The 22,237-nt window shown below is 49.5% G+C and overlaps 1 protein-coding gene across 5 annotated transcripts in view, besides 9 other annotated features; it reads right to left on the bottom strand.

Annotated features, from left to right (window-relative positions):
* Positions 1-19,628, bottom strand: part of CEP68 (centrosomal protein 68) — a 30,589-nt gene extending 10,961 nt beyond the window's left edge. For 3 of the 5 annotated variants that reach the window (NR_134966.2, NM_015147.3, NM_001410838.1), the window contains exons 1-4: positions 19,516-19,628; positions 6,243-6,645; positions 3,064-4,590; positions 1,640-1,762 (exon numbers count right to left, since the gene is read on the bottom strand). Coding sequence is in view for 4 of the 5 variants with exons in the window: in NM_015147.3 (NP_055962.2) it covers positions 1,640-1,762; positions 3,064-4,590; positions 6,243-6,599 (2,007 nt within the window). In the remaining variant the exon portion in view is untranslated. The remainder of the gene's footprint in view (positions 1-1,639; positions 1,763-3,063; positions 4,591-6,242; positions 6,646-19,515) is intronic. The other 2 variants (NM_001319101.2, NM_001319100.2) reach the window with 2 other exon arrangements.
* Positions 5,406-6,172: an enhancer, noted in NCBI's record as "H3K27ac-H3K4me1 hESC enhancer chr2:65297006-65297772 (GRCh37/hg19 assembly coordinates)". NCBI's record gives its function as "activates a minimal SCP1, AML or CMV promoter by ChIP-STARR-seq in primed H9 embryonic stem cells {active_cell/tissue: H9 hESC(primed)}" and the evidence as "EXISTENCE:reporter gene assay evidence [ECO:0000049][PMID:30033119]".
* Positions 6,941-7,707: an enhancer, noted in NCBI's record as "H3K27ac-H3K4me1 hESC enhancer chr2:65295471-65296237 (GRCh37/hg19 assembly coordinates)". NCBI's record gives its function as "activates a minimal SCP1, AML or CMV promoter by ChIP-STARR-seq in naive and primed H9 embryonic stem cells {active_cell/tissue: H9 hESC(naive and primed)}" and the evidence as "EXISTENCE:reporter gene assay evidence [ECO:0000049][PMID:30033119]".
* Positions 7,708-8,476: an enhancer, noted in NCBI's record as "H3K27ac-H3K4me1 hESC enhancer chr2:65294702-65295470 (GRCh37/hg19 assembly coordinates)". NCBI's record gives its function as "activates a minimal SCP1, AML or CMV promoter by ChIP-STARR-seq in primed H9 embryonic stem cells {active_cell/tissue: H9 hESC(primed)}" and the evidence as "EXISTENCE:reporter gene assay evidence [ECO:0000049][PMID:30033119]".
* Positions 14,362-14,863: an enhancer, noted in NCBI's record as "H3K4me1 hESC enhancer chr2:65288315-65288816 (GRCh37/hg19 assembly coordinates)". NCBI's record gives its function as "activates a minimal SCP1, AML or CMV promoter by ChIP-STARR-seq in naive H9 embryonic stem cells {active_cell/tissue: H9 hESC(naive)}" and the evidence as "EXISTENCE:reporter gene assay evidence [ECO:0000049][PMID:30033119]".
* Positions 18,396-18,475: a silencer, noted in NCBI's record as "silent region_11575". NCBI's record gives its function as "represses an Ori minimal core promoter by ATAC-STARR-seq in GM12878 lymphoblastoid cells {active_cell/tissue: GM12878}" and the evidence as "EXISTENCE:reporter gene assay evidence [ECO:0000049][PMID:35858748]".
* Positions 18,486-18,535: a silencer, noted in NCBI's record as "silent region_11574". NCBI's record gives its function as "represses an Ori minimal core promoter by ATAC-STARR-seq in GM12878 lymphoblastoid cells {active_cell/tissue: GM12878}" and the evidence as "EXISTENCE:reporter gene assay evidence [ECO:0000049][PMID:35858748]".
* Positions 19,166-19,505: a silencer, noted in NCBI's record as "silent region_11573". NCBI's record gives its function as "represses an Ori minimal core promoter by ATAC-STARR-seq in GM12878 lymphoblastoid cells {active_cell/tissue: GM12878}" and the evidence as "EXISTENCE:reporter gene assay evidence [ECO:0000049][PMID:35858748]".
* Positions 19,586-19,695: a silencer, noted in NCBI's record as "silent region_11572". NCBI's record gives its function as "represses an Ori minimal core promoter by ATAC-STARR-seq in GM12878 lymphoblastoid cells {active_cell/tissue: GM12878}" and the evidence as "EXISTENCE:reporter gene assay evidence [ECO:0000049][PMID:35858748]".
* Positions 19,796-20,035: an enhancer, noted in NCBI's record as "active region_15925". NCBI's record gives its function as "activates an Ori minimal core promoter by ATAC-STARR-seq in GM12878 lymphoblastoid cells {active_cell/tissue: GM12878}" and the evidence as "EXISTENCE:reporter gene assay evidence [ECO:0000049][PMID:35858748]".

The raw sequence follows: 22,237 nt of genomic DNA, 5'->3' as shown, positions 1-22,237 counted from the left end.
CTCTCCACACTGCAGGAAACAGCATTCCCAGTAGGGTGGAGCAGCTGGCCCAGCCTGCCCAGGTCAAGCAAGGCTCCTCCCTACACTTTAGTTGGCCCCAAGTTGGAAAACAAAGCCCCTCCCTTCCTCTAGCTGGAGTACGGTCCCAGGAAGGCCCTCAGTCAGCTCAGCCCTGGCCCAAGCACATGTAAATTGTGTCCTCTGCTGCTGAAGATATGGTCAGGTTATAAGGTTGTAGGAATTCAAAGAATTGTTTTAGAAAACTCCTTCCAGACTAGCCTCAGGCTCAGACCATGGATATCCCTCTGCTTCTTCATGAAGAGATTAGAAAGGTGCAGCCAACCAGATATGCTAGAAGGCAGGAGTTCAGCCAAGGTTAACGTTAGACTTAGGGATGACAACTATATAATTTATCCTCCAATTCAGGACACTTCTGAGACTGAAAGGGGACCTATTATTATGCCAGAACAACAGGCACAAACTGGGACGCAGTCATCCTAAATCTAGGACCAAGTTAACAAAAATCCACATTAGTATTTTCAAAATAACAAAATCTTAATGAAAAAGAAACAAGAAAACTAAAACCAAACCCAAATACATACACACGCACACAAACTGACGTCAGAGTTTTTGTTTGTTTTTTGAGACGGTCTCGGTCTGTGGCCCAGGCTGGAGTGCAGTGGTGTGATTTTGGCTCACTGTAGCCTCTGCCTGCCGGGTTCCAGTGATCCTCCTGCTAGTGCATGCCACCACACTCAGCTAATTTTTTATGTTTTTTTTTTTTTTTTCTGTAGAGACGAGGTCTCACTATATTGCCCAGGCTGGTCTGGAACTCCCGGGCTCAAGCGATCCTCCAGCCTCAGCATCCCAAAGTGCTGGGATTAATAGTGTGAGCCAAGGTGCCTGGCCTAGATTTCTATTTAAATACCATCAAAATGCCCTATTGTAGATTCTGGAGTCAGTACAATTTCAGCTCAGATCTTTAAATAGTGGTGCAGTCCAATAGGACTTTATGTGGTGATGGAAGTGTTCTACATCTGCACTGTTCTACGTGGTAGCCACTAGACAAATGTGATGGTTGAACATGCAGAATGTGGCTAGTGCAAATAAAAAAATCTGAGTCTTTAATTTTACTTCAATAGCCATACATAACTAGAGGCGTCATAATAGTGCAAGTCTGTATTTATAATCCCTGAGACATTTGGAAAATTATATTGCAAATCACCCTAAAGTATTTTTGTTTTTAATTAAGAAAAAACTTTTTTTTGAGGGGGGGGGGTCTTGCTATGTTGCTCAGGCTGTACTCGAACTCCTGGGCTCAAGCAATCTTCCTGTCTCAGCTTCCAGAGTAGCTGGGATAAAAGACTTGTCCCACTGCACCTGCCAGCCCAAAACCTAAAGTATTTTTGATTTGAGATAAATATATTGTATCTTCAAGCTCCATTTGGCCTGGGAAATAATTCATGCATTTTACAAAGCGTTCCGCTTTAAGAATGTGAAGCTCTAATTAGATTTCAGGTATAATAGTCAACTGAGCTATAACATACCAGACATTGGTTATTTGAGATTTTACTTTGTAATCGAGTAATTTAGCCACACTCTTGTGAGGGAACAAGCCAGAGCCAGGACCGCATATTACCCGGTAAAGCTGCAGAGAAGACTTGAGACTTGTAAGATTGGACCTGGCTGCAGTCCCGTGGTCAGTAACATCTGCAACATTATACAGCCAGCAGATCAGCTCTTCCAGCTGACAGCAAAATGTCTGCAGAGACAAATAAAAGGACACATGGTGTTACTGATCGAACAGCTATTTATGTTATCAAAAGGCTAAAAATATCAGGAGGACTTGGAGACAGACTGTGCACCTTCAGTTTCCTCTCTCCTCCTTGCTCACCTGTCCCGACTCCACGACTCTGTACCTCCCTCTGCCAAAGCAATGAAAACCACAGCCTGGTGTGACATCAAAAATGACAGGCTGAGAAAACCCAGCCTTGCAGGTAGGAATGGAGCAGCCCAGAAGAGGCGTGCCTGCCATGGAAACCAATTCTTGGATCAGCACCATTACTAACTAGAATCAGCATCTTGGAGCCAGATACGTCCATGTTTCTCTGGAAAAGTGAACGTAAAATAAATGACTAAAATCATGACTAACCTGAAGCTATAGCGAAGAACAACTTTACCTCATGGCATCTCAATCTTTTATCAGTAAAGAGGGGTCCATGATAACGTGTCCTACCTACCTCACAAGACAAAATAACCACGTCACCTCCTGGGAAGGTGAAAGCCCCCCGCAAGCGCTAGGACACGTTCCTGGACAGGCACATTCCTGAACCTTCAACATGTCTGGGAATGCACCGAAGCCCTCAACATGAATTATTTAATGCACACAACATCCTAAGAAGGCAGGGCTCCACATTTTACAAATGAGCAAACTCAAGAGGCTGAGCCAACATTCCAAAGACAGCAGTGCCATGTTTCAAATTCAGATGCCTGACACCGATAACCCTATTCCACGCAGTGTTCTTTATACCTCCAGATATTAAGTCATTTGGTTCACAAGATGGTCCGGTGGCCACAAAGTCTAGGCAACAGTACATCCAATGCCCCTAACTTTGCACTTAAACCACTGTGGCAAATGAAGCTCTAGAAGTCCTGCAGTCAAGAAAGCCACTTACCTTTGTTTAGCCCAGTGTTTCCTAAAGGCATCTGTGCACAAAACCTTTTTTGTTCAGAATACCTCTGAGTTAGGAAGCAGCCAAGGGTAGTGGCTAAGAGCTCAGCCTCTGCAAATAGTCTACCTGGGTCTCATTCTTGGCTCAAGCCCTTGCTAATTATAAGTGGGCACGTTACCTAACCTCTCTCTGCTCTTTCCTCCAAAAAGTAAAATGAGAACAGTGCTTACCTGGTAAAAGTTGTGAGGACTGAATAAGATAAGGTACAGCACAATGCCTGGCACATAAAAAGTGCCTGGTCAACATGAACATGTTTTATTATGATGTTAGTGGATTGGGGGAAGAGACAAGACACCTGTACACAAAGCTTCCTAACGTTGAGTGTCATTACCTTCACACATTGCACCAGTGATTCTTTTCCCTGTTCTCCTCCTTTCCTGGGAAGCTGCCCTTCAACATCTGGGTCTGAGAATGGCCACCGGTCCAACCTAGCTGGCAAGGAGGGGCGTGTTTTCAGCAGTCCAGAGGAGACCCCGAGGGCCTGGCTGCTCCCCAGACTGCCTTCCCCTGCGGAGTCGTGGGCACGGACGAAGGAGCGCAGGAAACAGGGATTCTGGCCCTCAGGATCCCCAGATCCTTGGAGGGCAGCTCCAGGGGGAAGCTGGCTTTGGCTGGAGCTTGAAGGGAAGGAAGCTGGCCCATCACTGTCTGACACTTCCAAGGGGCTCTGCCCTTTGATATCCCCAGTGGGCAGGGTAACCAAGGTAGAAATGGATCCTAGATACGAAACCAGGCTAGAAACCTGTGTCAGCCGAGCGGGGAGGGCAAGATACTCGTCATCACTTTCCACTTCCTCTTCTGATTTCCACCTAGACTCTGTGCAGGTAGGGCGCCGGGCACTCTGGCTGGTCCTCTTCTCCCTCTCTGGCCTGGGCGAGGGCCACCCTCTGTCCCGTGTCCTTAGCTGGGGAGAGCCCATATCAAGGTGCTTGCCTATAGTCAGCCGGTCCTTCGCACCCCTCAGGGCTGGCTCTCTGCGCTCCCAACGAGCATCCCTACTGCCTGGGGCTCTGGGGGTAGATGCAAGTTGGCTCCAAGATGCCAAGCCCATGCCACCCTGTTTCTGGGGTACTCTGGAGGGCCACTGCTTAAGGCTTGGCTCTCTGGGCCCAGAAAATGGCAGGGCAGTGGCCTCTGCTGGTGGGCAGTTGGGGGAGACATTAGTAGGTGATTTGAGGGTGCTTGCTGGAGAGACAGAGAAGCTATCCAGGTCTACCCCGGAGTCCTGCAGGACAGGGTCAGCTGGCACACGGCTATCAAGGTGCTTTGGGAGCTGAGGCCCGGGCCTCAGTGGGTAAGTATAGTCAAGCAGATCTTCATACTCTTTATTTGGGTTCCAGAGAGGGGAGTGGCGGTCGGGTGATGGAGGCAGGGAATCTGGCAGCACACAGGCCCAGTACTCAGCCTGGAAGGAGAGGCGTCTCCTGCCTAGCCCAGAAGCATCACCCCCAGAGAACACAGGCTGTGGTGACCACTGGGGCCGAGGTCCTAGCCCCACCACAGAGGAAGGTTCCTGGGGGACGACCGGCTCCAGGGAGGAGGAGACCTTGGCCAGAGAACCACCACGAGGCTCCGCCCTCTCCTGGTGACCCTGGAGACTGCTGCCTGTGGAGGAAGCAGAGATGCTGCAGCTGGAAGGCTGAGCTGCGGAACCTGGGCTCAGCACGGACTTCCACTGTGACAGGCAAGAGAGACCTGAGCTGTGAGGCTGCTGGCTGAGGTCCAGTGCCTGGGGCAAATCTGCTAGGGATGGATCATCTTCGGTATCAGCATCATGTCCTGAGCAAATAGTTGTTGTTCTGGGAAGGCTCAGAGTCTGAGGGAACTCCTCGGAGGAAGAAAGCTTGGTCTTCTCCACCTGCAATGATCAAAGGGACAAAAAGCACTTGGGTAAAAATCAAACCCAATTTCTTTCTTAGATGACAACCCAGGAGTTTCCTTGTGGGTCTAGACAGTATTTAGGAAAGACCTTAAAATGCAAAGTCTGCTGCCTGAGGCAAGAACCAGGCAATATGCACTGCCAGCAGCAGCACTGAGACCCTGCCTGTCTGGGAAGCAAGATGACTCCCATCTCCAGTCCTCTCCAAGGTTCTTCCTTCCTCCACAGGTATCCAGGGTGTGAGCAAGCAGAACTCAGACAGCTCTGTCATGCTGAAGCTGGAAAACAGTCCCTTACCTCTGAGAAGCGTCTCCTGGCAGATGAAACCCTCAATCACTCTGTCGCTAACAGGACACGTCCAAACCCAGGAGGTCGCCCCAGACCCCATCCTGCTCAGTTCACACGCCAGTGGTAACTGAACACTAGCAGAATGACTGGTTCATCTCAGCTTCTTCACTGAATTTTTTATCTGCTTGATGAAGAACTCACCCCCGAGGGAAGCAGGACAGCACAGTGTTGAAGGACATGGGTTTTGGAGCCAGACAAACCTGAGGCCAGCCCCTAACTTTGCCACCTTCCAGATGTATGACTTCGAGCCTCACTTTCCTCCCCTCATAGCACCAGCTCCTCAGAAGGTAAGGATTAAATACACCCATGTGTGCAAAGCACATGGTAAGAGCTTAACGAACAACAGGAATTCTAATAATAAGCACCGGACTCATCCCCGTGAAAGGCCATTTCTGTGTCTGTTTATGATTCGCTTCCTGCCTCACCGAATCTCTGACTCACAGGTGCCAGAGCCTCCCACTGCCCCTTGCTCCCAGGCAGGTGGGGCCCAGCCTCTGTTCTCTCCCAGTCCCGCTCAGAGCCTCCTCACAGGGTGCAGCCCCACAAGGGGACCCTGCAGCAGCCAAGGCTACAATGACACCGAGAAGATCAAAGCCATTCCCAGGAAAGGCCTTGGCAAGCAGAACAGAAAAGAATGTAAGAGCTGGGCAGAACAGATCATTCCGGTCACCTCCCAATGATACTGAGGGCCTGAAAGATCTGGTGATTTGCCTGCAGTCACAGAACCTGGTAGGATTCCCTGCCCCATGTGACTCCCACTAGGAGAAGCTGCCTGGCAGTCAGAGAAGCCCAAGGAATTCTCCTTAACCAGGGACAGTGCTGCCTACTACAGGGCTCCAAGGTTCTGACATGTCCCTTGGGTCTGAAGAGGATTTAGGTTCAGAGCCCCCAGGAGCCCAAAGCCCTGGACACTCCTTTCCCAAGTCTCTTCAGGGTACCCCTAAAGCCTTTAATCACCAAGTCAGAAACACGGCAGGGCTCTCCTTGCCAGAATTCCCCTGGCCTGGACCTCTGGGCAGCAGCCTCTTGGCCTATAATCCCTGGTCCTTAAAAAGTCACCAGTCACTCTTGAGGAACAGGAGATAACCGTGGACAGTCCCCCCGGCCGGTCCTGAGGCCCAGCTCTCTAGCTGAACCCGCAAAACAGAAATCATCATACTCAGGCCCCTCCAATTCCTCACCCTGCACAGTAGCAAGGAAAGGATGCAAGATGGTGAGGAAATCCTGAACAAACTCCCAAAGGACAGCAATGGGTCCATCTACAGTCTTGCCTTAGTACCTACCTGGCTTTCCCCGGAGAGCAGAAGGTCTCCAGACCCCATGGTGGCAGGAGGCAGGCCACTGAGTGCAGGCTCAGACCTCTCAGCTACGGGCTCTCTGTTGGCATCACTGGCCTGTGGCTGGTGGGCTCTAGAGGGGCCGCCAGGGTCAGTCCCAATCCAGCAAGTAGGGGCAGGTATCCCTTCTGCCCCCCATACAGGGGAGATGAGCCCTCCCTCAGCTTCCAGGCGTGGGGGCTGCTCCCCACTCATGGGCCCTGGGATGTCCAGCTCCCGCTCCCTGCAGCTCCCTCTCCCATAGGACTGGGCCTTTGTGTCTTCAGATGCTTCCGCTTCTGCCTTTTCTTCACCCAGGGCCATTGAGACTCCCTACCTAGGTCAGGGTTCTGCTGAAGACTTCAGCTTCCTACAAAACAGGGGAAGGGAGAGAAAAATATAAATCTTCTACATCTGTGTTCAGGAAGTCTTGCTCTTTAACAATTAAGGCAAACATATTTTTGGTCAAAGAAAAAAGGAAACAAATGGTGACTACTTCCTCAGAGGAGCACCGAGTTCCGGCTTTTCCCTGGCCCCAGACCTTTCCAAAGGGGACACAGAAGCACACCATTTCCCCTCTGCTTTCATGGTGGATGGTGCCATCCCCACCAGCAGAAACCCAAGAGGGTCAACACAGGTCCAAAGTCCAATCAAGGCTGGGGTCCTGCCTAAGTCACCTTTTTGCCCTTTTAGCCCAACCCCACTGGGTAAGAGGCCTGGTGGGACCCTTCCTGTGCACAGGCCCATAGTGGTTCTGTTGTCGTAACGGTCCCCTCAGCAAGCAACTCAGGCCTGGCTCTGACTGTTCTATCCTAGAGAACAGCAAGTCAGGGCATGCCCAGGCCTCAGCTGGGCACTGGAAGAATGCCCTCCAAGATGCTTGGCTCTGCCTGGCAGAGGAGGCAGGACCCTCTCTTTTCTTTTCTTTTTTTCTTTTTTCTGAGACAGGGTCTTACTCTGTCACCCAGGCTGGAGTGCAGTGGCATGATCTCAGCTCACTGCAGCCTCGACCTCCCTGGGCTCAGGTGATCCTCCCACCTCAGCCTCCTGAGTAGCTGGGACTACAGGCACATGCCACCACGCCTGGCTAATTTTTCTATTTTTAGTAGAGACAGGGTTTCACCATGTTGCCCAGGCTGGGACCCTCTCAAAGCACAGAAACCACATCCAGCCTGTGGAACAGGTGAGAGCTACTTGTTCCAAGGATGGCCAGTGACCAAAGAGAAAGAGATCAGCAACTCTCCTCAGGCTGGCCTGGGTTATGCTGCACGTGGTGATGGAGGGAAGCTGTGGAAAGCTGGTGGGTAACAGTGGTAGGGTAAGTGTAACACAGCATGTGTGCACATGAGAGCAAGAGCCAATCAGCAGGCAGGCAGGCGAGGGAGCACAGGCCGAGCACTCAGGGAAGGATGATGATTTGGGAGCTGAATCTGCAAACAGGACCATTCCAACACAAAGAGGTTCAGGAACAACAGAGGGACATCACCCTCAGCCTAAGCATGCCAGCAAAAGTTGATGCTGAGAGCCCTGGTGGGATGGGGTAGGGGGCCAAAAAGCCAACAGGAGGAAGACCAATGCTGGGAGGATGTGGAAGGGGAGGTAACGGAACCGTGAATGCCCAGGATGTCGGCAGCCACCCGGAGTGCACTGGGCCAACCTCAAAGCTTAAATGTGGGCAGAAATGGCCTTGTTTCCTTAGTCAGGAGGCAAACAGATGGTAAGAGGAGATGCTGGTGGAGAGCCTGCAAAGGGGGAATGGCTGCGGGCTCATCTTACTCAGCTCACACGCTGGGAAATACCACCTAGATGGGCACTGCACACACTGAGGACGCCTTGCACTGGAATCCAAGAGGGCCCTTCCCTACTCTGCCTGATGGGGCATGCCAGGCTCCAGCCTGATTCAGAAGTGACCCTGGAGAAGAGCATGCCCTTCGCACGGACGCTCGTCTAGTTCCCACAACCACCAGGTGGGGCAGGAACTAATCAGAAAATTATTTTTGAAAGGTAATATACAGCTCAAATGTAAAATGCACAGCAGATGTAAGTCTCTCTCCGCCCTTGTCCCCCATTCCTTTGCCAAAATGAGCCAGGGCAGGCAGAACATCTATGACAGTGCCTGGCATGGTATGGACACTAAGTGTTGGCTGTTGTCATTAGTGTCATGGGGAGGCATGGACAGAATCAGTGTAACAGGTCACCTTACAAGGAAGGACAAAGGAGCCAAATGGGAGAAAAAGCAGCCCATTTTTAAATACAAATCAAACAAAATATTTACTACTAGATACTCCCACAAAATCAGGGAACCAGCCTTACTAGTTTTGTGTATGACCCTTGTTTCCTGATGCAAATATCTATGTTCATCCTTCCCCCACTTTTGTTCCCCCAGAAACTGAGTCTTGCTCCATCACCCAGGCTAGATAGAGTTCAGCGGTGTGATCTCAGCTCACTGCAACCTCCACCTCCCGGGTTCAAGCGATTCTCCTACCTCAGCCTCCCGGCTAGCTGGGACTACAGGCGTGCGCCACCATGCCTGGCTAATTTTTTTATATTTTTAGTAGAGATGGGGTTTCACCATGTTAGCCAGGCTGGTCTTGAACTCCTGACCTCAGGCAATCCACCCACCTCCCAAAGTGCTGGGATTATAGGCATAAGCCACTGTACCAGGCTTATCCTTCCCTCCCTTTTTTTTTTTACATAAAAGTAGCAAACTGTATAGGTCATACTATTCAGAACCTTGGTTTTCTTTTCTCTACAAAAAATATCTAGGGGCTCATTCCTAAGCAATACAGCAGGTCCTTCAGTAACATCACTTGGTACGATATCTTTTTTTTTTTTGAGACAGAGTCTCACTCTGTTGCCCAGGCTGGAGTGCACTGGTGCGATCTCAGTTCACTGCAACCTCCGCCTCCCTGGTTCAAGCAATTCTCCTGCCTCAGCCTCCCAAGCAGCTGGGATTACAGGCATGTGCCACCATGCCCAGCTAATTTTTTTTTGTGTGTGTATATATATATATATATATATATTTTTTTTTTTTTTTTTTTTGAGACAGAGTCTCACTCTGTCTTCCAGGCTGGTGTGCAGTGGTGTGATCTCGGCTCACTGCAACCTCTGCCTCCTGGGTTCAAGCAATTCTCTGCCTCAGCCTCCCGAGTAGCTGGGATTACAGGCACCCACCACCACACCTGGCTAATTTTTATATTTTTAGTAGAGATGGGGTTTCACCATCCTGGCCAGGCTGGTCTTGAAATTCTGACCTTATGATCCACCCGCCTCAGCCTCCCAAAGTGCTGGGATTACAGGCGTGAGCCACCGTGCCTGGCCAATTTTTGTATTTTTAATAGAGACGGGGTTTCGCCATCTTGGCCAGGCTGGTCTTGAACTTCTGACCTCGTGATCCACCCGCCTCAGCCTCCCAAAGTGCTAGGATTACAGGTGTAAGCCACACCGCCCAGCCGGTCCAATGTCTTTTCATTATATCATTGATAAGAAACCCTGATTCCTGACTGAGGTCACTGTCTGTATGGAGTGTGCACATTCTCCCCATGTCTGCCTGGATGATATCCAGTTCATCTGGATACTCGGGTTTCCTCCCACATCCTGAAAACATATACTTAGGTGAATGGGGCTGACTACATGGTCCTGGTCTGAGTGTGGGTAGATGAGTGAGCGTGCCCTGCCATGGGATGAAGTCCTGCCCATGATTGGTTCCCTCCTTACACCCTCAGCTGCTGGGACAGGCTCCAGCTACCTGCGAACTTGAACCCATTTGAGTAAGCAGGTAAATCATAATCTTGTGTTTTTTTTTTTTTTTTTAAGATGAAGTCTCGGTTTGTCACCTAGGCTGGAGTGCAGTGGCGTGATCTTGGCTCACTGCAACCTCCGGCCCCTGGCTTCAAGCAATTCTCCTGCTTCAGCCTTCTGAGTAGCTGGGACTACAGACACTCACCACCATGCCTGACTAATTTTTGTATGGGGTTTCACCATGTTGGCCAGGCTGATCTGGAACTCCTGACCTCAAATGATCCGCCCTAGTTGGCCTCCCAAAGTGCTGGGATTACAGGCATGAGCCACCACGCCTGGCTCATCTTACTTGTTTTTATTCATCTTTCATAAATGTATGTACAGCTCACATTTATTTCACTATTTAATTTAAAAGTGTTTTAGTCTTTACTTAGAAGTTTGGTGATGCTTTCATGACCAGAAATATGCCATAGGAGCTTAACTCTTATTTATATCAATTAGACTATGGTAAAATTGGTTTCGTTATATGTCCTTTCAAGTGGCAGAGTCACGGTTTCCAAGAACTTACTGACGACATCAAGTGAGGACTTACCGTACAAAGACAGCTTCCTCTTTTTCATTACTGACCAGTACTGTATTCTGGTGTAAGGACGCACTAGTTTATTTCACCAGTCCCTTATTAGTGGACATTTGGGTTATTTCTAGTCTTTTTTGCTAGTCCAAACAATGCTATGATGAGTCACTATGCACACACATTTGTGCTGGCACATCCTCAGCATGAATTGCAGAAGTAGAGCTGCTGAGGCGAAGGGTGCTTTTGCACACACTGCCAAGTGGCCCTCTGCTGAGTGGTATCACTCTACACTCCACCAGCACATGTGAGGGCCAGTTCCCACGGGAGCCAGGGTCTTTAATCCTCACGTCACAGATGGGGAAACGAAGCCTCTGAGTGAGACAAGTCCAGGACTGCCCAACTCCAGAGCCCAAGCTGTTTATGAGCCAACTGGGGAATAAGTGATCAAACAGTTAAGCCACAAAGCAGAAGAGAGAGAAGACTGGTGGAGGGACAAAGAGAAGAGTGACAAATCTTGCTGAGACAGAGATCTTACGGAGCCACATCCTCACCTTGTGGCTCATTAAGAAACTGCACATGAAGACGTTTACAGGCAAGTTTTGTTTTCATAAGTAGGGGAACAGCTGCGCCCGTGAGCTAGAAAAACCAGGGTGAAGGCTGGGTATAGCCCATAATTCCCAATTGCTACTTCTTGCTCCATTTCTTTTTTTTTTTTTTTTTGAGACGGAGTCTCGCTTTTTCGCCAAGGCTGGACTGCAGTGGCGCTATCTCAGCTCACTGCAAGCTCCACCTCCCGGGTTCACGCCATTCTCCTGCCTCAGCCTCCCGAGTAGCTGGGACTACAGGCGCCCACCACCGCACCCAGCTAATTTTTTGTATTTTTAGTAGAGATGGGGTTTCACCACATTAGCCAGGATGGTCTCGATCTCCTGACATCGTGATCTGCCTGCCTCGGCCTCCCAAAGTGCTGGGATTACAGGTGTGAGCCACCACGCCCGGCCTCTTGCTCGATTTCTAAAAACTCTCTCAATGGCTAGAGATTCCCCACACCTCTCACTAAAGGGTGCGATCTTGAGACAAGGTGCTGGAATAAGATGATGATGGGGCAAGGGAGGGGTGCAAACAAATTATCCCTTTGTTTTGATCATGTACTTTTTATTCATCTTGTCTGGACCTCATTATTCAAAAAAGAAGGTATCTATTTAGCCTGGAGAGATAGGGAGTGGTGAGCTATTACAAACTATTCAGTTGACATCCCTAAGTAACTTACAAGGATACACACAAACCTAAACTAGGTTAGTAGTGTGGCCAAAGTCCCTTCAGCAACCAGGTAAGAAGATCTGAAATTCAATGATTTTCAAGGAAATTGTACGTCTGTAAAGACGGAATGAAGGTAGTTACTTTCTTAGACTGGATAAACAGTCCCTTCATAATCTTATTAATCTGCCTGACAAATCATGCTTTTCCCCCCTATTATACAAGTTTATTATGAGAACCAAGACAGACACATGTGAAAGAAAATAAAAACCAATCTATAATGCATTCAAAACTGTCTATGAAATGTTACCAAAATGCAACGAAAGGGAGAAATCAGTTGGGATAAAAATAATAGGGGAAAACTTCCTGAAGTAATGACTGAAGACAAACCTCTTTTAAAACAGCAATCATGCCGAAGAAAACACTGGCCCAGGCTATGATAAACGCACAAGTTTTGGATTCCTAGGACTCAACCCTGTCTGCATCTGGCCGGTGGCCATCTGTAACACTGCATGAAGGTCTGGTCTTCATTTCCATAGATCCGAGATTTTACACATCATTCCTCCTAACCCTCTGGGGTAGGGGTGGGGGCGATAGATTCAGGTTGCACTTCTAATAAGAGGCAGCTTATCCTTCTCAGACTGGTGAATAGCGCTTGTTGTCTTGGACCCACACAGTCTCCCAGGTCATCAGCTTTAAACAATTTCCTAATGTGGGGCCTCCCGTTCTCGGATCACACATTTTACAGTGCTCCTGGAGGCTAGCAGCTCCATGATGGGGCACAGGCCCCCGTCGCCTCCCAAATGAAGGAAGTGCCAGGAGGTTGGACTGAATGACAGGAGACATCAGAGCACAGACAGTGAACTCAACCTTACCCTCTGAGAAAGGTCTGTACACAACAGAACTGCCTTGTCCTTTGTCAAACCAAGAGACAAGCCACATAAGCTTCAGGATATTCTAGGGACCATCTGGACTTTGCTATTAAAATTCTGTTAGTTTCCAGAACCTGAAGAGGCTGTATGATCCACCAGATATAATTAGGAGTGATGTAGGCTTGGCTTACTCTTGCCCTACAGTAAAAATACGCCCACAAATCATGCATGTGGTAACACAAACTCTAAGCCTGGACATCTGACCCTTCTTCGTATATGCTGCATCACCCTAGGACACTCCTGTCACAGCTGCCGGGCTTCCTCCCACTCACTTCTGTCCAAGATGGAGAGAGGAGGACTGGGAACTGTGGGAGGGGTGAGGCTCTGCTCTTGCTCTTGACTAAACCCCTCAAACAGATGAATGATCAACTAGAGAGCAATCCTCCTTTCAACAAAAAAGGACCTCCCCTAGGACTATTTTTTTTTTTGAGATAGAGTCTCGCTCTGTCGCCCAGGCTGGAGTGCAGTGGCACGATCTTGGCTCACTACAACCTCTGCCTCCCGGGTTCAAGGGATTCTTGTGCCTCAGCCTCCCAAATGGCTGGGATTACAGGCGTGCACCACCATGCGTGGTTCATTTTTTGTATTTTTAGTAGGGACAGGGTTTCGATATGTTGCCAAGGCTGGTCTCGAACTCCTGAGCTTAGGCAATCCACCCGCCTAGGCCTCCCAGAGTGCTGGGTTTACAGATATAAGCCATCACGCCCCGCCTCTTTTTTTTTTTTTTTTTTTGAGATGGAGTCTCACTCTGTCGCCCAGGTTGGAGTACAGCAGCGAGATCTTGGCTCATTGCAACCTCTGCCTCCCGGGTTCAAGCAATTCTCCTGGCTTAGCCTCCAAAGCAGCTGGGACTCCAGGTGCGTGCCACCATCCCCGCTAATTTTTCTATTTTTAGTAGATACGGGGTTTAACCATGTTGGCCAGGCTGCTCTCGAACTCCCGGCCTCAAGTGACCTGCCTGCCTCGGCCTCCCAAAGTGTTGGGCTTACAGGCGGGAGTCACCGCACCTGGCCAGGACTCTTTAAGTCGTGAGCTCCCTTTGAAACAATCTCATTTATACCAACTTTGCCCAGGGAGCTCTGTTCTGGCAAGGGCTCGTCTCTTACCTGAGCGCACAGTCACCTGTGCCAGCCACAGAGGCCAGGTGTTGCTAGACTGAGCAAGCCCTATGAGTTCAGGGCCAAAACCTCCAAACCTGTTTTCACAGGAGGCCACAGGAATAAGTGATAATTGCCATGAACACACAGTGGCAGAACCTGCCCAGAGAACCAAAGAGGCTTTCCATGCTGCTCTTTCTCCAATAACATGAAACTGTCCACAAGGAAACAGAAGGCAGGACCCAGCAGAGCTTGCTGGAAGAACTCTGGGGGAACTAGATTTATGGAATAAAGGAGCTTAAAGGCAGAGGCCAAGCAGGCATGGGAGGTCACATGAAAGGAGGTAAAGACACGTAGGGGAAGCCAACAAAGGGGCCAGTCACAAAAGGTGACTGAGGCCTGCTTCAGGGTGGCGTGGGTGCCAGGAAAACTGTGGCTGGAGGCCTGAGACTGGGAGGCCAGCAGCAAAGAGCAACTGCTGCTCCACCTGCTCCTGCCCTGCTGGGAAGTCCCCCTGGAGCCCCACAGTCCCCCACACCAGCCCTGTCTTTCACTGTGGGATAGGTCACTCTGAGCACTTTGTCCCCCTTCTCTGCAGGTAAAATCAAAGTAAAGTGAAAATGAAGAAAAGACTCAAAGCTACGGAGGGTAGACTGTGTCTGCTGTGGCTTGGCCATGGGCCGAGGCCATCCCCAGGATCCTTGGGCACCGGGAGCCCCTTCTTTTCTCCCCAGGGCTGCTTCTGGAAGTTTTGCTTAGAGTCAAAAGAACAGAAGGAATCTCCCAGGGCCCTAGGAGGAGCCAGTGGGTCCCTGTAGATCAATGCGGTAGGGAGGGCTGTGGGCTAGGCTGCTTGGCTGTCTGTTCCCTCGCCTTCTCACTCACTTATCTGTTGGCTGACTGACCAGGGCTACCAGACAGCCTCCCAGCAAGGCCAATGTTCTCATTTACAAGGCAAGGTCTTTAGGTAGCCCTTTTTTTTCTTTTTTTTAATTTGAGATGGAGTCTTGCTGTGTTGCCCAGGCTGGAGTGCAGTGGTGCTATCTCACTGCAACCTCCACCTCCCAGGTTCAAGCAATTCTCCTGCCTCAGTCTCCTGAGTAGTTGGGATTACAGGCACCCACCACCACGCCTGGCTAATTTTAGTATTTTTAGTAGAGACAGGGTTTCACCATGTTGGCCAGGCTGGTCTCGAACTCCTGACCTTATGTGATCCTCCTGCCTCGGCCTCCCAAAGTGCTGGGATTACAGGCGTGAGCCACTGCGCCCAACCTAGATAGCCTTTAAAGAGATGTAAGTCACATCTACAAGGAGCTTGACTGAGTCCCAGCTACTCCTCCCCTCAACCCCAAGCTCTCTGGCCTCCTCAGCAGTCAGCAGAGTGTCCATGTGTAACAAAGCTCAATGTACAAGGATGCTGAGGGCTGAATATGTCAATCAACAGCACCTTTTTTCTCACTAAAGAGCAAAGCAGAAAAACACCTTCCTTATAACAAAAGTCACTGTCAGAAGAGGCTGTACCTGGACCACATGGGTGCATTTCCACAGACCACTGCTTTTACTATACTGACAGTTTTTATTTTTATTCATTTATTTTTTTTTAAGAGACGAGGCCTCGCTATGTTGCCCGGACTGGTCTCAAACTCCTGAACTCAAGCAATCCTCCCTCCTTGGCCTCCCAAAATGCTGGGATTACAGGTATGGGCCACTGTGCCCGGCCCTGACACTTTTTTGTGAGGTCATCAGGCTGCACGTATGAAGACTGAGAAGAATCTTACCGCTCTCAAGAGATACTATTAAGATTGCCACTCACTGTACCATAGCATTCTCTTTGGAGAAGCCATGGGAGAATTCTCTGGCCTCAATAACAGAAACAGCTGTCTCCATTCAGCAGACATTTTCACTTTATAAGTACTGGCAAAACTGATAAAAAAAAATTTCCCTCTTTGCTTTGGCTGCTACAAAGCTCAGGGCCAAATACACAATCTCACCTGAGTAAAAGGCATAGGACAGAGAGGTACTTGCCTTTTTGTGCTAATTTCTTCCTTGACTTTCTCCTATTTTTTTTTCACTCCATGTGCCTCAATTGCTGTTATTAAAAATCTTATTACATCAAAGTATGTTGGAACAATTCCTCAAATAGTTTTTTTTTAACAAGATAGAGAAATTGTTAAAACAAAAAATAGAAAAAAGCTCCTAAACCCAAGATTTTATTCCAATACCATAAGAAAATAAAACCCATTTACCCAATACTTCTAAAAAGCAAATGTAGATACTAGGGTTAGCACTTCACTATCAAAGTGTGATCCAGCACCAGCAGCATCTGCATCACCTCAGAGCTCGTTGGGAATGCAGATTCTCAGGTCCTGCCCCAGAACCTTGGAATGAGAACCTGCATTTTAGCAATATCTCCAGATGACTTGGTAAGAAAAATGTTTCAGAAGCACTGGGTTGGTAAGTAAGGCTGTTTCAGCACCCTGAGAAGGAACAACTAAAATAGCTTTACAACCATTCCTTGGGTGCCTATATGCCAGCCACACACAAGAAGAAAATTTATGGCCCTTGTCTTCAAGGCCTTTGCAACAGGACATTAGAAAAGGCTTACACCTTGTGGCAGGTTTTTAATGGCTAATTATAGAATACCACAGCTGAAAGGGAGTCCCCAGAAATAATAGTATTCCCTAGAAAGAATTTGAGATTCATGATGGCTATGTTAAAAACAGAATCACAGACCTGAATTTCTCCTGTGCCAGTTACAAGTGAGGAGGGGAAAGGTATTTGTTTTGGAAACTGGAAATAATTTAAGAGAAACCAATATGCCAAGGGAGCTTACAGCTACAAGGAAATGTGCAACTTAACCTGTTTCCTGTAACCAGAAAGTGGTGCAGGAAAACCTGGAAGTGACGCAGTGTCCCCCAGGAGTTGTATCTGACACTTCTAGCTGGCAGACAGGTCTAAAGCCAACAGGAACATTTCTTGGGCTTTTCATGATGTTGGTGAACAACATTAAAGATAGGAGACAGTTTCTTCATGAGAACAGATTTAAGTTATAAGGAGAGTCCACCTCCATAAGCTCTGCTTCTTTCTGGATGGATCAACCAGGTAAAGATTTTTTGTCAGCCACATGAGGCCCCCATCTATTTAGCTCCTCTGATTTTACATGACCATTTCAGATAACAGACCCCGTTAAGAATGTATCAAGTACTACTGTAACTCTTGGCCAAATTGCTATTTGGCACCAAATCAATCTTTAGTTGGTGGTGAGACTCCAGACACATAAACAGATAATCTTCTACGGAATACTTTCACTGTGGAAAGAGAATCAGGAAAGGCTAAAGGGATGTTTAAAAATCAGACATCAGGCTGGGCATGGTGGCTCACGCCTGTAATCCCAGCACTTTGGGAGGCTGAAGTGGGTGGATCACCTGAGGTCAGGAGTTCAAGACCAGGCTGGACAACATGGCGAAACCCTGTCTCTACCAAAAATACAAAAATTAGCGGAACACGGTGGTGGGTGCCTGTAATCCTAGCTACTCGGAAGGCTGAGGTAGGAGAATTGCTTGAACCCGGGAGGAAGAGGTTGCAGTGAGCTGAGACTGTGCCATTGCACTCCAGCCTGGCCAAGAAGAGTGAAACTCCCTCTCAAAAAAAAAAAAAAAAAAAAAAAAAAGGAAAAAAATCAGCCATCGGATAAGGTGTCAGGCACCGTGGCTCATGCCAGTAATCGCTTGAGCCCAGGAGTTCAAGACAAGCCTGGGCAATATAGAGAGACGTCATCTCTACAACAAAATAGAAAATTAGCTGGGCCTGGTGATGTGCACCTGTGATCCCAGCTACTTGGGAGGCTGAGGTGAGAGGGACTCGACCCCAGGAGGTTGAGGCCACAGTGAGTTGAGATCATGCCACTGTACTCCAGCCTGGGTGATGGAGTGAGACCCTGTCTCAAAAAAAGGGATCGGATAAGGACCAAAAAACAGAGAGATCCTGAAGGGTCAAGTACTATACAGATATTTCATATTGGTGAGTGTATTCAAGTATCCATTTATTTTTCTCCTAACGACTGCTAACAGCTAACAGCTACTGATCATTTTCTTTGTGCCAGGAACTATATTAGGCACTATACATCAATATCTTATTTAATCCTAATAACTCACCACACAGGTACTACTATTATTCCCATTTTTAAGGATGAGGAAACCAAGGCACGGAGAAGTTAAATAACTTAATGACACGCCTGTAATCCCAGCACTCTGGGAGGCAGAGGCAGGAGGATTGCTTGAGCCCAGGAGTTCAAGACCAGCCTGGACAACATGGCAAGACCCCCATCACCATTAAAAAAAAAATTAATCAGAGTTAGTAACATGGCAGAGCTAAAGCCTGTTTGACTTAGAGAGCCTGAGCTTAGCTGCCTTCCTAACCTGTAAGAATAACTCGCTCAAGAAGTTAAATAAATGTTTCTGTTGTGTCACCTTTAGACTACCACGCTGATTTTGTTTCCTTTTGGCTTCCTTCCATCATTGAGTGCCTTTTATGTTCCAAGCATTGTGCTAGGGGCTGGGGAAACCACAATACAGTGTGATGAGTAAAAACAGAGGCTGCAGAAGGTAGCCCAAAAAAGGGAGGAGTTATCAGTCGCAGGGTGGGGAAGTGCTTTAAAAAGCTTTGCGCAAAAGAGGTTAAACTGAATTCCTTGGGTTTTTTGTTGTTGTTGTTTTCTAAGTGGGCCAGAATTGACTCAACAGAGGGTGGGAAAGGGGAATGGAGGGAACAAAGTAAAAAGTGGTGACTTCTAGATCTTTCAACTAAACCCAAGGCAAACTGACCCAACAACCTTTGTTACACACTTTAACACAACACTCTTCATACCCTAGATCTGAGAACTGTTAGATTATTTACAAACGCTACCTCCCTTCGTGGTCCTGATGAATTCCCAGTGAGGTCCAATCTGCCCTGGCAGGCTTCCGCTCATTTTTGTTACAAACAATACACTAAACCCAACCTACTAATCATCAAGGGCCTGGAACAGGTTTTGGACATTCGTCCCCAGGCTGCTGAGAACTGTTCTAGTGATGACAGTTAGAAAGGGTAGCCCTCCGAGGCAAAAAAAATGAGACATCTTGATTTTTTCTCTCCGCATCTGGGCGCGGCGATAAGAAGACATCACTGGTCTCCATCTTTCCAGGGGGAAAGGCCCGAGCTGCATTAGCCCCGACTGGGGAGCTGGGTAAACAGCCCACGCCCGGGAGAGGCCTGAGGGAAAGTGACCTCCCCCGGGGCCCAGGCCGACCAGCGGCGCAGCTGCTCGGCCGCCAGATGCGCGGACTCGCGCACTCCCTCGCCGCGCCCGGGCATTCCCAAGCCCAGCCGCCCGCCTCGGCCCCGACCCCTCGGCCGCCACAGCACACGCCGTTCCGCTCGCAAGATGGAGGCGAAGGCACGAGGCGCCCCCGCCCCCCAGGGAGCCTTTGTGCCCTTGCCGGCGGGGACGCGAGGCCAGACGGCCCGCACCGCAAGGGCCCCGCAGGCACCGAAGAGACGCGGGGGAGGGGGCCGGGCGCGCGCGCGGATCTAGCCCGGGCCACCGCCCCCAGCGCCGCGGCACCCCCGACACCAGCACCCGCACGCGGGACACTGCCTACCTACCGCACCGCGAACGCTTCGCACGTCCGGAGCGGTCTCAGCAGCCCCATGCGCTGGCCCCGAGCTGGCGGACCCTGACTGCAACTGCGGCCCTCCAACCGCAGCCCAAAACGCGCAGGGCAGGACCGAGCGCCAACCACGCCCTTCGGCCGCGCTGACCACGCCCTTCTTCCCGCCCCTTCTCCCTCCGCGGGAGGGCTTTCGGCAATTTCGCGCAGCGAATCGCAGCTCTAAGTCCGCGGCTCCACCAATACGTGGACGCTCCTGCAAGATGAGCCCGCCCCCTACTTCGTCCTGGCCTATGGGAAGCCGGGACTTCTTCAGCGGCTGTCCTCCCTCGCTTTTGGAGCTCCGACCTCAGCTTCGCCTGCGAGCTGGGTTGTGTAAAGGCTGGTCATTTTGGGGCGCTTAGGGGTGGGTGCCGGGGGGCGCGCTTTCCCTCGTGAAGGTCGCTCCAGGAGTCATGCGTACATTCGTTCATTTTGCTCTGGACGCACTGATGTTCCCGGCTCGCCGCCGTGCCGCAGTCACGAGGCTCTCCGAACGCCTTTCACTGTGTTTCTGTTTACATTCGCGTCTGCAAGACCCGGCGGCGCGACCGAGGCCCGAACAGGTGCTGCGAGGCGGGGCGGGGAGCCAGTGCTGAGGGGAGCTCCCCAGGCCGGGTGGTTGAAGACAGCTTCTGGGGGGAGGTGGAGCTCTGGCTCGTGGAGAATGGGAAGGGTGTGGAAAATGAACTGGTAGCTACTTAGCCACTCTGAGCAGCCTGCTCTGATGGGAAATCGGTGATGGAGTCGGAGGGAAGTGGGAGGCAGCTTGTGGGAGGCCAGGGTGCTCACTCTCTCCCCTGCCAGCATGGGACCTAGTAACTTTCATACATCTCTATCTATCTATCTATTTTGCAAAGATGGGGTCTTGCTGTGTTGCCCAGGCTGGGCTTGAACTCCTGGACTCAGACGATCCTCCCGCCTCGGCCTCCCAAAGTGCTGGAATTACAGGTGTGAGCCACTGCATCCCATCCCCTAGGAGCTTAATGACACTGCCCTTTAGCTTTTACTGCTTAGCAGAATCCGGAGGCATAGAGGAACTACCACCAGGGTGGCGTGGGGAAGAGGCCCTCCCTTCTGATGATTTTCTCTCAGCAGCACTTTCAGCAATCTGGCTTCAACTGAATATCTCCCCAGTTCATAAAACAGGCGTCTGTAAATGTCAACCCCAGCTGGGTGCAGGGTACAAATTTTTTCCTACAGAGCTCTTGAGTCCCAGGTAGTTTAGGAGACAAGGACTTGTTTGGTTTTCCCAGACCTGTCAGGACAGCTCAGAGGTTTTGTCTAACCCAGGGGCCACAAACTTTGGACAACAGCAGCAGCTAGCCCACAGATGGTTTTATTTGGGCATCGCATAGCTTTTCTTTGTTTGTTTGCTTTTGTTTTTTAATAAGAATTTGAATCCCACCACCACCACTGGTCCATTAAGTAACAGCCAGCCTTCACACATTTGCTGCCTACCTGAAGGCATTTGTGTTTGTGACCCTTGATCTTTTCTATACACAGAAGACCTCCAGTGGAGTCACCTAATCCCACAGCCAAGTCACCCCTGCTGGACAGAGAACTGTACAAAGTCCAAACAGGCGTACATATCCTGTATGGTTTCCTCATCTATAAAGAGAGGGGATAGGATGAAGGAGTCCCAAGGTTCCTTTTGGTTCTGATGTTCTGTAATTTTGTGTTGTGAGCAGCTTTTGTTTTTGCCTGACGGGAAAACTTTCCTTTGGGAATTGTCTGCAGTCCGCTGGGTCAGATGGTTCTTTAGCACCGCACTTCTCCGGTCTCCCAAGGCAGGATGGGTGTGGAGAAGGGGAGGTGTGGAACCCAGGCCTGACCAGCTGTAGTCTCCCTCCTCTTGTTTTCAGATTTCCCCAGGGATGCGCACATGACCAAACCTGAGATGATCTGAGCCCTTGTCGGGGATTTTAGAGAATGAGGCTGGGAGAAAGAGGCTCTTTCTTTTGGTGTTTCTGAGCGCGGGAAAAGTAGGCCTAGAGCTGTCTGTAGTTATACTCCTTGCAGCAGCAATGCTGGAGAACCAGGCCTGGAAATGTTAGGAACCAGCTAAGCCATCCTGCTTTGGTACTCTGATTAGGGTGCGTACCAGCTCCTTTGGTGGTGACATGAATTATTTTTCAACTCTTCTCACTTAAGATTCAAGTTTTGGGAAGGACCATTTACTTGGCCTAGTCTAGGTTATGTGCCTGTGTTCTGATTGCCAATAGGCAAAGAGAGTTCTGGTTTCTACTGTGGCTTCTAGTCTGGGAGGCCTAGCCTCATACCAAGACTCAGTGTGTGGGGGCCTCCCCTCAAATAAGAAGAATGAGACGCTGGGTTGCCAAAAGTTGCTTCACTATAGTCCGTCTCTTAGGCTGCCCAACATTCACAGAAGTGCTTTCAAAGGTAAATGAAAATGCTGCCATCCAACAAAATGCGAGCATCTCTCCTATAACAAAATTTACTTATCCCTTCCCCAAAGCAGGGCATCTCAAAATCTCCTCATTTACTGTATTTGGCCCAAGTCTAACTTCTGTAGGTGATGTTCCATTCTTCCTTTCAGTTTCATCATCATCCCATCCCATCGTTGTAATGTGTAGACTAAATTGTAAAGTTAAGCATCACTGATAGACTTTAGATACAATTGTGAAAAGAAAGGAAATGAAAGAAAAGGACA

Source organism: Homo sapiens, chromosome 2 (assembly GCF_000001405.40).
Source record: "Homo sapiens chromosome 2, GRCh38.p14 Primary Assembly".
Lineage (NCBI taxonomy): Eukaryota > Metazoa > Chordata > Mammalia > Primates > Hominidae > Homo > Homo sapiens.
Note: the sequence above shows the minus strand (reverse complement) of the source record. Positions and strands in the feature narration are given on the sequence as shown.